At 56.5% G+C, this 13,463-nt stretch overlaps 1 protein-coding gene across 15 annotated transcripts in view, besides 4 other annotated features; it reads left to right on the forward strand.

Moving 5' to 3' along the window:
* ARHGEF10 (Rho guanine nucleotide exchange factor 10) overlaps positions 1-13,463 on the forward strand; it is a 135,313-nt gene that overhangs the window by 3,585 nt on the left and 118,265 nt on the right. The window contains exon 1 of one of the 15 annotated variants that reach the window (XM_047422449.1): positions 8,770-8,798. The exons of the other annotated variants lie outside the window; for them this stretch is intronic. The gene's annotated coding sequence lies outside the window, so the exon portion shown is untranslated. Of the gene's footprint in view, positions 1-8,769; positions 8,799-13,463 lie in introns of those variants that run through there. 15 annotated transcript variants of the gene reach the window in all.
* Positions 1,881-2,797: an enhancer, noted in NCBI's record as "H3K27ac-H3K4me1 hESC enhancer chr8:1776960-1777876 (GRCh37/hg19 assembly coordinates)". NCBI's record gives its function as "activates a minimal SCP1, AML or CMV promoter by ChIP-STARR-seq in naive H9 embryonic stem cells {active_cell/tissue: H9 hESC(naive)}" and the evidence as "EXISTENCE:reporter gene assay evidence [ECO:0000049][PMID:30033119]".
* Positions 2,798-3,713: an enhancer, noted in NCBI's record as "H3K27ac-H3K4me1 hESC enhancer chr8:1777877-1778792 (GRCh37/hg19 assembly coordinates)". NCBI's record gives its function as "activates a minimal SCP1, AML or CMV promoter by ChIP-STARR-seq in naive H9 embryonic stem cells {active_cell/tissue: H9 hESC(naive)}" and the evidence as "EXISTENCE:reporter gene assay evidence [ECO:0000049][PMID:30033119]".
* Positions 6,419-6,919: an enhancer, noted in NCBI's record as "H3K4me1 hESC enhancer chr8:1781498-1781998 (GRCh37/hg19 assembly coordinates)". NCBI's record gives its function as "activates a minimal SCP1, AML or CMV promoter by ChIP-STARR-seq in primed H9 embryonic stem cells {active_cell/tissue: H9 hESC(primed)}" and the evidence as "EXISTENCE:reporter gene assay evidence [ECO:0000049][PMID:30033119]".
* Positions 8,305-8,896: an enhancer, noted in NCBI's record as "H3K27ac-H3K4me1 hESC enhancer chr8:1783384-1783975 (GRCh37/hg19 assembly coordinates)". NCBI's record gives its function as "activates a minimal SCP1, AML or CMV promoter by ChIP-STARR-seq in primed H9 embryonic stem cells {active_cell/tissue: H9 hESC(primed)}" and the evidence as "EXISTENCE:reporter gene assay evidence [ECO:0000049][PMID:30033119]".

The raw sequence follows: 13,463 nt of genomic DNA on the forward strand, positions 1-13,463 counted from the left end.
TTCAGCTCTCTCCCTTAACCAGGCTTTCTGGGAGTGTAATTTTGGAAGGTTCTGGGAGCTCTGCAGTGGAAAGGGGTGGGCCAGGCCCAGGGGCTGCCAAGGGTCTGAGAGGCAGGGAGAGCAGAGGCCGGTGACCAGCAGGGGTCCTTGCCTGGGTGGCAGACAGGGCCACAGCCCCAGGTCCGTCTAGGGAGGGGCAGGGTTACCTGTAAGGACAGGTGTGGCAAAGGGGCCCAGGGAGAATGCCCTGCCACCAGCCCCCACGCTGATACACACACACTTCTGCCACATCTGCCACCCTACTCTGCTTCAGCCTGTTCATAGTTGTCAGGTTTGGACATTGGTTTTGGTTCTGTTTGTTTGTTTTCTGTGAGTAGTTTTCCAAATTTTGATAAAAAAGTGATCTTTTTTTTTGAAATGGAGTATCACTCTGTTGCCCAGGCTGGAGTGCAGTGGAGAGATTCGGCTTGCTGCAGTCTTTGCTTCCCAGGTTCAAGCAATTCTCCTGCCTCTGCCTCCCAAGTAGCTGGGATTATAAGCACCCACCACCGTGCCCGGCTAATTTTTGTATTTTTAGTAGACGGGTTTTGCCATGTTGGCCAGGCTGGTCTTGAACTCCCGACCTCAAGTGATCCACCTGCCTCAGCCTCCCAAAGCGCTGGGATTACAGGCGTGAGCCACTGCATGCCCCGTCAAAATGATCATTTTAAATCGTGGATTTTTCCTTTCCTTCCATCATTGCCATTTCCTGCTTTTTGTTGTATCATTAGAGTAAAGCAGGCCTGCCAGTAGAAAGTGCTATATGGGGGTTGTTGGTATTTTATATTTTTGTTAAATGATGTGAAAAAGGTGTAAAATATTTTTAAAAATGTTTGGGTTCAAAGTTTTTCTCTTCCATGGGTCACTTCTGATAGGGGAAATAACTGTGTAAAGTAAAATATGGTATCCAGAGCTGTGACTGGTGCGGGGGCCCTTGTGAGGGAGCGATGGGGAAGCATGCAGGTTGTTAACAGGCACATGTAGAGATGCATGGCTGTCTGCGTAGAATAGGCCTGGCTGCATCAGCATTGGCTAGTTACCAATCTGGCCATTCTAGGTTCCAATATCTTAATGACCGTCAGTCCCTGGGGACTCACAGTGGGGGTTTAATGAAGAAAACAGAAGGAATGGTTGTGGTACCTCAACACTCTGCCTCCACTGATAGCTACAGACAGCCGAGGCCCTTTTCGGCACCAGGTGAGTCGGGGTGAGTCAGGCTCCTGCAAGTCGTAGGTGTTGCTTCCGTGCTGAGATCACGTTCTTTGTTTTGTTTTGTGCCCGTGGCTTGTTGTCCAGCTGTGGGGAACAGACCCTTACACTTGGATGTGGTCGTTATTATGTTGTGGAAGAGCAGTGCCTTCCTCTTAAAGTGCCTTCCTCCCTTAAAACCGTGGCATGCACACTTAACGGTTTTAAGGAATTACATTTTGATAAACCGTGGCATGCACACTTACTGTTTTAAGGAATTACATTTTGATAAACCGTGGCATGCACACTTACTGTTTTAAGGAATTACATTTTGATAAACCGTGGCATGCACACTTACGGTTTTAAGGAATTACATTTTGATAAACCGTGGCATGCACACTTACTGTTTTAAGGAATTACATTTTGATAAACTGTGGCATGCACACTTCCTGTTTTAAGGAATTACATTTTGATAAACCGTGGCATGCACACTTAACGGTTTTAAGGAATTACATTTTGATAAACCGTGGCATGCACACTTACTGTTTTAAGGAATTACATTTTGATAAACCGTGGCGTGCACACTTAACGGTTTTAAGGAATTACATTTTGATAAACCGTGGCATGCACACTTACTGTTTTAAGGAATTACATTTTGATAAACCGTGGCATGCACACTTACGGTTTTAAGGAATTACATTTTGATAAACTGTGGCATGCGCACTTACTGTTTTATTCTATCGTTTGCTTATTTTTTTTTTCTGAAAGGAAAATAAAGCAGTGATTTCAGTGCAGTGTCTGATTTTCTGTAAGGAACATGAGAAAAGTGAGTCCAAAGAGCATTACATAAGCTAGCGTGGTATTCAGTGCGTATCTGAGCGGACACGGACGGGGAGTCCTCGAGCTTTGGAGAGGAAGCAGGCGGCAGGGCCTCCAGCACACCTGGGGGGCGGCCAACCAGCCCGGCCAGGCCGAGCGCTCCCCGCCTGCACAGTTGCACTCATGTCGGGCCTGAGCTGAGTCGTCCCGACAGGATACCTGCGTGGGCCGTGTAGACACAACCCAGGGAGCTCCAGAGTTAATGACCCTCCTGGTTCAGAAGCTCCGTATGTTTTGTGTGAGAAGCGCTGAGCTGTGACGGAGGGAATGCGGTGGGTCTTCCTGATGGTGCGTGCAGTTCTGAGCCTGGCGGGGTCAGCGGCATGGAACCAGTGGGACGTGGTAAGGCCAGGCCTGTGGGCGGTTGCCCTGTGTGGGCCGGGCCAGCTTGAAGTCCGCTGAGGGCTGGAGCCAGCCCCTGACCCTGGCCAGCCTGCTTGCTGCAGGAGTGATAAGAAAGTCGACTCATGCTTTGTTCTCAAGCACTTGACTCAGCAGGCCCGTGGGAAGCAGCCCACACGAGAGGCCCTGACCCACGTCCAGCTGCCTCCACGGAAGCCGCGGCTTCGTGGCTTTCTGTCGTTTGTGTGGGCTCTGCATTCAGCCAGCAGAGGCACTTCTTGCAGAGCAGGGCTGAGGAGAATTCCTTTCTCTGGAAGCTGTGGTCCTGTGTTATGTAGAATAGGTCACTTTTCAGCTGCAGCTGGAGTCTAAACGAGCGTCATAGGTGCCCAGCGCTGCACGGCGGCGCAGCGCTGCATTCGTGGTCCCGAATCCGGGGTCTGCGGAGGAAGAACGCGCGGCGAGGCCCGGGGAGGCTGCTGGGACGGCGGCAGGCACCCTGCTCCTGGAATGGCGTTTAGACATGCAGGTTTCTCCATGATTTAATAGGAAGGAATGAAAGGTGCAGCGTTTTGCCAGCTGATGAAAATATCTGGGGAGCGAGTCATAGGTAGCGGTAGCAAGAAGGAGAGGGTTAGGTTCTCCAGTGTGCAGGCTCCGAAGTGCTCTCTGCCAGCCGTCAGAGGGCTGCAGTTTGGAGGCAGCTCCCGCTTGCTCTAAAGAGCCACTTCCCCGCTCCGTTCTGTCTGCAGACGGCCCCAGAGGGCAAGGACTCCTGGTGACAAGAGGAGTATCAGACGAAGGCAGGGGAGGGAGGCTGTGTGCGCGCACCTGTAATCCTGGGAGATTTCCACTGCAATCCGCAGGCATGCGTGGCAGGCGGCTCATTTCCCGTGGGGCTCAGGCGGCTCATTTCCCGTGGGGCCCAGGCGGCTGTCCTTGGTGGGCGCTTGACTCCTGGGCGTGGCTTCTGTCCAGCATCCAGGCTGCCAGGAGCCTCCGGGGGCCGTGCAAACACCTGCGAGCACCTTCTTGGTCCCTTGAGGCCTTTCTCTGTTGGCTTAGGTTTAGTGCCCTTTTGTGCTTATGTGTTTTTTGAATCAAGTTTTTATACTTGATTTAACTTCTATAAAAAGAAACAACCTTTGCACATGAAGAAAATCTACCTGTGGCCATATGACAAGCACCGGCAAATCTGGAAATGACCTATTAAGAGACAGGTGTTTCATGAATACCGCTGCGTGCTAAGTACTAAGTGCTCTCACGCCCCAAGGCAGGGTGTGAACCGCAGAGACCATGTGCTTGCCCTGGGGGGCTGGCACCCTTGTCTTCAGGAAAGATGATTTAAGAAGTAAAGTAATATGATGAAAAGCTGCGGAAAGAGAAGGCATACACGGGGCTACAAGGTGGAGAAATAAGGCATACACGGGGCTACAAGGTGCGGAGAGGAGGGATTTGAAATTGAATAGGAGCCATGGCAGGCGAGGCGCCAAGAGAATGGGGTCATTGCCTGAAATGCCACTGGAGCCGAGAGATGAGCTGAGCCCACGTCCACAGAAGCCCATTCCCAGTGGGAGGAACAGCGTCTGCGCGGCCCTGAGGTGGTGCACCCAGCATGTCCAGGAACAGCAGGTCGGCCAGGGCTGGAGGGCCGAAGGCAAGAGGGGACTGGTGAATGCCAGGGCAGCGGGGGAACTGCATGGGAAGAAGCCTTGGAGGCTCTGTGTGTCAGAGCGGCTGGAAGGGCCACGGGCCAGACCCATGGAGGGACAGTGTGGGAGAGCCACGGAGGGGCCATGTGACAGAGAGCTGTAGCAGACAGGGTGATGGACATCCATGGAGGGACAGTGTGTGGCAGCCGTGGAGGGACAGTGTGACATCCGTGGAGGGACAGTGGCAGCCGTGGAGGGACAGTGTGACGGCTGTGGAGGGACAGTGTGACATCCATGGAGGGACAGTGGCAGCCATAGAGGGACAGTGTGACGGCCATGGAGGGACAGTGTGACATCCATGGAGGGACAGTGGCAGCCGTGGAGGGACAGTGTGTGATGGCTGTGGAGAGACAGTGTGACATCTGTGGAGGGACAGTGTGACGGCCGTGGAGGGACAGTGTGACATCCGTGGAGGGACAGTGTGACGGCCGTGGAGGGACAGTGTGACATCCGTGGAGGGACAGTGTGACGGCCGTGGAGGGACAGTGTGACATCCGTGGAGGGACAGTGTGACGGCCGTGGAGGGACAGTGGCAGCCGTGGAGGGGCCGTGCACAGTGAGTGGTGAGCGAGTTGGGACGCGAAGGCTGCTCTGTGCTGCTGGGATTGCTGGTGTCAGCGCCCACTGCAGAGTCCTGTGCTGCGGCTCATGTACTGCTGTGCGGGTCGTGCACTGCTCGCTCCTGGACACCTGCACAGGGTGCTCCTGATGGAGTCACTTTTCAGTGTGTTGACTTTCACGTCGATGACAGGCAGCTTTTTCTCATTCTCACCATGGGATCCTATGGGGCTGTGGCCCTGGGTCAGGAGTGCCCTGGAGGGTGGCACATGGCCGGGTGGAGTTGGATGGGCTCCCTTCCCGCAGCTGCCTGTGGAAACCAGCACGTTGGCAGGAGGGGAGGGTGGTGCCCGAGCCTGTGGGTGTGGCCGCTGGGGACTGGGTGTGGGGACAGGAGTCTGTGGAATGCGGTGCTTCCTCCTGACTGTGGGGCTGGAGGAGCAGCGGTGGGTCGAGGGTGGTTTAGTCCACCCAGGGGGTCCTGTGGCCCCGCTCTGCTGGTGCCTGTCGAAGGGGCAGCTGCAGTCGAATCACCACGCTGCTCCAAGGGAGTCTCCCAAGGGCTCCAAGGGATGGAGCGTCCGTAGATGCCCGGAGGAGTTGCGGTGGGCGGGGGGCGCGTTGTGTCCAAGGCTGTGTCGAGGGTCATGTGCAGCCGCCCTTGCTGTGGACAGAGAGACAGGCAGAGGCAGAGACAGAGACAGAGGGAGAGAGAGACAGAGACAGGCAGAGACAGAGACAGAGACAGAGGCAGAGGCAGAGACAGAGAGAGGCAGAGGCAGAGACAGAGAGAGACAGAGGCAGACAGAGGCAGAGACAGAGACAGAGGCAGAGACAGAGGCAGAGAGAGACACAGGCAGAGGCAGAGACACAGGCAGAGACAGAGACAGAGGTAGAGAGACACAGAGGCAGAGGCAGAGACAGAGAGAGACAGAGGCAGAGACAGAGGCAGAGACAGAGACAGAGACAGGCAGAGGCAGAGACAGAGGCAGAGAGAGACAGAGGCAGAGGCAGAGACAGAGAGAGACAGAGGCAGAGACAGAGGCAGAGACAGAGACAGAGAGACAGGCAGAGGCAGAGACAGAGGCAGAGAGAGACAGAGGCAGAGGCAGAGGCAGAGACAGAGACAGAGGCAGAGACAGAGGCAGAGACAGAGAGAGACAGAGGCAGAGGCAGAGACAGAGGCAGAGAGAGAGGCAGAGGCAGAGACAGAGGCAGAGAGAGACAGAGGCAGAGGCAGAGACAGAGAGACAGAGGCAGACGCAGAGACAGAGAGACAGACAGAGGCAGAGACAGAGGCAGAGACAGAAGCAGAGACAGAGGCAGAGGCAGATACAGAGGCAGAGAGAGACAGAGACAGAGGCAGAGACAGGCAGAGAGAGACAGAGGCAGAGACAGGCAGAGAGAGACAGAGACAGAGGCAGAGAGAGACAGAGACAGAGGCAGAGAGACAGAGACAGAGGCAGAGAGACAGAGACAGAGGCAGAGAGAGACAGAGGCAGAGGCAGAGACAGAAGCAGAGACAGAGGCAGAGACAGAAGCAGAGGGAGGCAGAGACAGAAGCAGAGACAGAGGCAGAGGCAGAAGCAGAGGGATGCAGAGGGAGACAAAGACAGAGGCCGAGACAGAGGCAGAGGCAGAGACAGAGGTAGAGACAGAAGCAGAGACAGAGGCAGAGACAGAAGCAGAGGGAGACAGAGACAGAGGCAGAGACAGAGGCAGAGAGAGACAGAGGCAGAGACAGAGGCAGGTGCAGCGACAGGGGCAGAGACAGAGACAGAGGCAGAGACAGAGACAGAGACAGAGGCAGGGGCAGAGACAGGGGCAGAGGCAGGGGCAGAGACAGGGGCAGGCTACAGCCCGGGGCCTTCAGCCGCTGCCACTGCATCCGCCCCAAGCACGGCCCTCACGGCTGCCTCTGGCTCTTCTTTGGCGCCCTGTTACCGCCTCCAAGCCCCCACCCCCAGGATGCTCACCATGCTCTCTGGTCTCTTCCCAGCCCTGGGTCAGCCCCCTTTCCATGCCAGGCCCCGGGCAGTCCCCAGGCCGCTGCTGCCCTCATGCCCGGCCCAGCTTGTTTCCTGAACCCTTTCCAGCAAGCATCTCCTTTCCTGCAGATCCCGGCCCCACTGCCTTCTTTAGGAAGCCCTCCTGGCCGCTGACCCCCATCCCCAGCTCCCTGTGCTGCTTCCCTGGGAGGGAGTCTTAGCTGGCACTGTGCACCTCAGCCTCCATTGCGACCATGACCCCTCCCCAAGTGTACGGCACACAGCATTGTTGGGGAGCCGTGTCGGGGCTGCTGGGAGCCCCCCAATGACCACTCCTGCTCGGGGGCACTAGAGGAGAGGAGACAAGCAGACACATGCAGCTCCAGCCCTCCCGGGGAAGGGTAAGCAGGGCTGGGCTGCCTGCTGCGACTGCAGAGGCCTGGGGCACGCAGCTGTCTGGACACCACCCTCACCCATCGGGGTGGACTCTCATGGCACGGACAGTTCTGCCTGGGCAAGTGGATACTGTGGTGGCCGGTCCGGGGCTGCTTGTCCCCTCCCCAGCATGTGGCGCAGAGAGGGTCACACCTGCTTGGGGCCCAGGCGGGTTGATTCTGACCCGGTTAGCTCGTGACTGACTGTGTTATAAAGCCCTTGCGAGACTGAATGCATTTGCTTCTCTTTTCACTGTTTTTTCTTTTCTGGGAGCGTGCAGAGGAGGGGAGAAGATCCCACGGAGACGGTCTCAGTCCGAGGTGAGCAGAGCGTAATGGTGAGAAGGTAGCAGAGCTGGAGACACAGGCCCAGGGAGGACCCTGGAGAGAGGGGCTGCTGGGTGCCATGCGCCCTGAGACTCAGTCACAGCTGCGCTCTGAGGCCAAATCCAGATGGTCACAAAACACAAACCCAGGACAGTGGGGTTCTCCCGAGTCTTAGAGAAGAAGGTCTTTCCTCCCTCCTTCCCTCCCTCTGTCCGTCCATCCATCCCCTTTCCGTAAGCATTGAGTGTCCTCACAGACCTCTGGAAACATTCAGTGGAAAGGACTGGCGTGTTTGGCTTGCTGCGGTGTTTGGTTGAGTTAACCATGACATTCCAGAAGGACTCCTGCCGTAGACTTTGCGTCCTTTTACGTTTCCTCCTCGTGGATTTATGTCTTGAGTTGGAACCTTATGAATGTGAAATCAATCGGGTGCAGAATGCCGGGGCCACAGGGGTTTCCTGGCTCCCGTGGTGCATCAGGGGTGGGATGTCCAGAGACCGCGCAGCCTTGGACACCGGCCACCCAGCAGCCGGCTCCCGGCCCCAAGCTCCCGGGGTCTGTCCGCGGGGCCACTTCACCCCCAGGTGGGAGGATGGAGGAAATGGCCCCTGCATCATTCGCCAAGCGGGTCCGCCACAACGCTCTGAGCTCGGCTCGGTCGGGGAGTGCTGGGCGCTGATGGCCCCCGGCCCGTGTCTGCCAAGGCACTGGGACATCCCACGCTCCTGCATTCTGTGGCGCAGACACAGGATGTGGGTGGTTCAGCCTGCCGCCCCCACCTTTGCAGGGCCATGGAGGCCGGAGGAGTGGACGATAGGAAACCGACCAGGGGGCCCAGGATGCTCGAGGCCCGAGTGCCGGACAGGGCTGAGCAGTAAGTGAAGAGCGGGGCACTTCACAGGCACAGAGCCTGTCCCTGCCCCAGGTGCATCTCTGAAACCACGCGGCAGCCCTGTGAGTCGGTGCCGTCCCTGTGCAGCTGAGGCCGTGGGGGTACAGGCAGGTCAAGGGCCTGTGTGGCTGGGAAGTGCTGGGCTGGGGCAGATGCAGACAGGCTCCCGGCACAGGCTTCAGCCCTGCCGCCCCTGCAGCTGTTTCCCAGGTAGAGGCCCTGGGTCATGGTGACTTCCTCCCACGCAGGAGTCAGCATGACAGCTCATGCTAGCACGCTCATGCCGTCCCGAAGCACTGACTGTGGAATGGTGCCTGTGGAACGTCCCTGGGTCTTCGGCCAGCGTCCTTCCCACCCTGCTGCTGGATGGGCTCCCCTGACCTCCTTTTGCAGGCCTGGGCACACGGTGAACGGCACAGACAGCACAATTGCAGCACAGGTGCGGGTGTGTCCCCACAGTCACGCTGAACAGCGTCAGGGAGCGCAGTGGCTGTGCTGTGTGTAAACACTTATAGAAGGTGGGGCTGCGGCCTGACGCACACGGCATGAAACGGTCCTTCAGCCTCGGTGTCTCTGGGCTCCCTCTCTGACTGAATGCATCATCTTTTTGTTTAAAACCACAATCCAGGCCAGGCGCCGTGGCTCACACCTGTAATCCCGGCACTTTGGGAGGCCGAGGCGGGCAGATCACGAGCTCAGGAGATCGAGACCATCCTGGCCAACATGGTGAAACCCCGTCTCTATTAAAAATACAAAAAATTAGCCAGGCGTGGTGGCAGGTGCCTGAAGTCCCAGCTACTCGGGAGGCTGAGGCAGGAGAATGGCGTGAACCCGGGAGGCAGAGCTTGCAGTGAGCCGAGATTGTGCTACTGCATTCCAGCCTGGGCGACAGAGCAAGACTCTGCCATGGAAAAAAAAAAAAGAAAAAAAAAAACACAATCCAAATGCACAATGAAATCTTTCATTAAGATGCTTAAATTGGAAAATGACAGCAATCATGAAACAAAGCCTGCAGCCCAGGCAGGTATGAGCTCATGCTGCACGCTCCTGGGGATAGAGTGTTTTGAAAGCGGAGTCTTCTGCTCTGCCCCCAGGGTCCATCTCACCTGCACCAGGGCAGGGAGAGTGAGCCCCAGCCCAGCCCCACCATTGAAAACGATGCCGGTGAGGTCCAGGTGAGTCACCTGTGGGGAGTTGCCAGCCACGTGGGCTGACGCCGGTGGAAGACTGCACACAGAAGACAGGCTCTAGACCCCCGGGCTTCAGGGGGTGGGATGTTTTGTGTGGCCTGGAGGTTCTAGGGACACAGATACTTCTCACAGCAGGTCGGAGTTGGGGGAGCAGGCTGTGGGGGGGAGAAGCGCATGCTGCCGTGGGCTGTGTAGGGAGCACAGGCAGCTCTGAGTCCAGAAACAAAGGCGTGGTTTCTGTGTCAGCCCCTGATATGGTTTGGCTGTGTCCCCACCCAAATCTCAACTTGAATTGTATCTCCCAGAATTCCCATGTGTTGTGGGAGGGACCCAAGGGGAGGTAACCGAATCATCAGGGCTGGTCTTTCCCGTGATATTCTCCTGATAGTGAATAAGTCTCACGAGATCTGATGGGTTTATCAGGGGTTTCCACTTTTGCTTCTTCCTCATTTTCTCTTGCCGCCGCCACGTAAGAAGTGCCTTTCACCTCCCACAATGATTCTGAGGCCTCCCCAGCCATGTGGAACTATAAGTCCAATTAAAGCTCTTTTTGTTTCCAGTCTCAGATACATCTTTATCAGCAGCGTGAAAGTGGACTGATACAGCCTCATAGAAATTTTCCTTCTTAGGAATGCAGTTTTTAAGGGACACTAATTTGGAAGGAAATTTTTGGAGTTTACAGTCTGCCTGAGACTTGTGTATGGGTCAGGATGCCGGTGGTAGGGCAAGGCCTGGGCCAGAATCTGACAGTTGCTTCCCAGAGCCAGGGGCTGCTGTGCGCTGTGCGGAGCCGCAGGACGGTCGGGGGCATGCTCTCTGCACAGGGCTGCCCTGCAGACTTGCAGAGCTGATGCAGGCAGACGCCATGGTCGGTGCTGGGTGAAGTGTGAGCTGTCACCCTTAAAAAGGGCCAGGCATAGAAAGGAGTAATGCCCAGTGTTGTTCATCTTTCCGTTGGTCCTAAGATTATCAGTGGAAAAATGAGAAATCAATTTGACTCATTTTTATGCATTTTTGTAGAGAAACAAATAGCATGAATGAGATTTACACAGTGTGGTTTAAAAAATGGAGAGTAAACAACAGGGCTTAAGGAAACAGAATTCTCGGAAGACACACAAAGCCACGTGGCTGTTAGGTAGAGCGTGCTGGTGTTGTGTTCATTCTTGAACAGACGCGGCAGGCGTACAGCTGGCCTTGTCTAGGGCGGGAAGGGGGAAGAGTGTGCTTCTGGCCCTGCCACTTGCTCACCACCTTTGAGAACAGAGCGTGGGTTACCAGGGGAGGGCGCTGATTTTCTCTGAAGCCCGAGGCTGCCTGGCTCCTCGGCTGCGTCGTATTACTAATGTTGGGCAGGTGAATCTGTGACCTTTGTTTCTTCAGCAGTTGAGAAACTGAGGGATACCACGTTCCTCATGGTGAGTCAAGGTGGTGAGGACTCGGGGTCGTGGGGACACTGCTCCTCACTCTCACAGGTGCTCTAGGTTTCCTCACAGGTGCTCACAGTTTCCTCCTCTGTCTCCCCTCAGGACTGCAGAGTTCAAAGGGGTTTATTCATTGTCTCCTCCATAGAGTTCAGGGCGTTTATTCATTGTCTCCTCTTCGTATGGTGGATGCGTCTTTGTCTGTCCTGTTCCCCGAGGTCCTGGTGCACCGTGGAAGGAACAGACCTTGGGCTGGGATCCACCGGGGGTGCCGGGGGTGCCTGGTGCCTTCCTTTCTCTAACAGGCCTGGACTCCATCTCCAGCGATCCTGATGCGTGAGGTGGCATTGGCCCTGGTGCCAGCGTCCCAGGGAAAGATGACATCAACCTAAACTCTTGAGGACTCATAGCTGTATTGGAGCATTGTTAATTTTCTTTGTTGGGAGATGCTCCAGCCATGGAACGTACTCTTCTTCCATCCGTCTCTGAGGCTGCAGAGTCATCCAGGCCAGGCTGACGAATGAAGGAGTCTTCTCCTTCCCACAGCCACCCGGCACCCGCCCAGCCTGGGGAGAAGCCATCCCTTTCTCTGCACTCAGGGCAGCAGTCAGCGTCTGGTCCTGCTGCTGTGTGCACGCCGGAGGCAGTCCTCTTCAGACCTCATGTGTTCATTCCTTCAAAGAGCCACGCACTCTTCAGCACAGTTGGTGTTGGCTGAATATTTTTGACTGAGGCTAAAGGGTCATTTTGGGTTTTGTCAGGGTCTCAGAGCCAGTGTGGTCCTCTCTGTCCATGGGATCCGATTGTCGGAAGCATTGATGCCATCTGGCGTGGAGGCCGTCCACCGTGGGGACTGTGCAGCGTGGGGGCCATCTGGCATGGGGGCTGTCTGATGTGGGGGACATCCAGCTTGGAAGCTGTCTGGCGTGGATGCCGTCCAGTGTGGTTGCTGTCTGGCATGGAAGCTGTCTGGTGTGGGGACTGTCCAGCGTGGAAGGTGTCTGGAGTGGAAGGTGTTTGATGTGGGGACCATCCAGTGTGGGGCTGTCTGGTGTGGGGGCCATCTGGCATGGAAGCTGTCTGGCGTGGGGACTCTCTGGCGTGGGGGCCATCTGGCGTGGATGCCGTCCGATGTGGGGACTGTCCAGCGTGGAAGCTGTCTGGTGTGGAAGCTGTCCGATATGGGGACTGTCTGGTGTGGAAGCTGTCTGGTGTGGGGAGTGTCTGGTGTGGGGACTGTCTGGTGTGGAAACTGTCTGGTATGGGGACTGTCCGGTGTGGGGACAGTCTGGTGTGGGGACTGTCTGATGTGGGGACTGTTTTGTGTGGGGACTGCCTGGTGTGGAAGCTGTCTGGTGTGGGGACTGTCCGCTGTGGGTACTGTCTGGTGTGGAAGCTGTCTGGTGTGGGTACTGTCCGGTGTGGGGACTGTCTGGTGTGGGGACTGTCTGGTGTAGGGACTGTCTGGTGTGGGGACTGTCTGGTGTGGAAGCTGTCTGGTGTGGGACTGTCTGCTGTGGGGACTGTCTGCTGTGGAAGCTGTCTGGTGTGGGGAGTGTCTGGTGTGGAAGCTGTCTGGTGTGGGGACTGTCTGGTGTGGAAACTGTCTGGTGTGGGGACTGTCCGGTGTGGAAGCTGTCCGATATGGGGACTGTCTGGTGTGGAAGCTGTCTGGTGTGGGGAGTGTCTGGTGTGGAAGCTGTCTGGTGTGGGACTGTCTGCTGTGGGGACTGTCTGGTGTGGAAGCTGTCTGGTGTGGGGACTGTCCGCTGTGGGTACTGTCTGGTGTGGAAACTGGTGTGGGGACTGTCCGGTGTGGGGACTGTCTGGTGTGGGGACTGTCCGGTGTGGAAGCTGTCTGGTGTGGAAGCTGTCTGGTGTGGGGACTGTCTGGTGTGGGTACTGTCTGGTGTGGGGACTGTCTTGTGTGGAAGCTGTCTGGTGTGGGGACTGTCTGGTGTGGAAGCTGTCTGGTGTGGGGACTGTCTGGTGTGGAAACTGTCTGGTGTGGGGACTGTCCGGTGTGGGGACTGTCCGGTGTGGGGACTGTCTGGTGTGGGGACTGTCCGGTGTGGAAGCTGTCTGGTGTGGAAGCTGTCTGGTGTGGGGACTGTCTGGTGTGGAAGCTGTCCGATATGGGGACTGTCCTGTGTGGAAGCTGTCCGATATGGGGACTGTCTGGTGTGGAAGCTGTCTGGTGTGGGGACTGTCCGGTGTGGAATCTGTCCGGTGTGGGGACTGTCCTGTGTGGAAGCTGTCTGGTGTGGGGACTGTCCGGTGTGCAAGCTGTCCGATATGGGGACTGTCTGGTGTGGAAGCTGTCCGATATGGGGACTGTCTGGTGTGGAAGCTGTCTGGTGTGGGGACTGTCCGGTGTGGAATCTGTCCGGTGTGGGGACTGTCCTGTGTGGAAGCTGTCTGGTGTGGGGACTGTCTGGTGTGGAAGCTGTCCGATATGGGGACTGTCTGGTGTGGAAGCTGTCCGATATGGGG

This window comes from Homo sapiens, chromosome 8 (assembly GCF_000001405.40).
Source record: "Homo sapiens chromosome 8, GRCh38.p14 Primary Assembly".
NCBI classification, from domain to species: domain Eukaryota; kingdom Metazoa; phylum Chordata; class Mammalia; order Primates; family Hominidae; genus Homo; species Homo sapiens.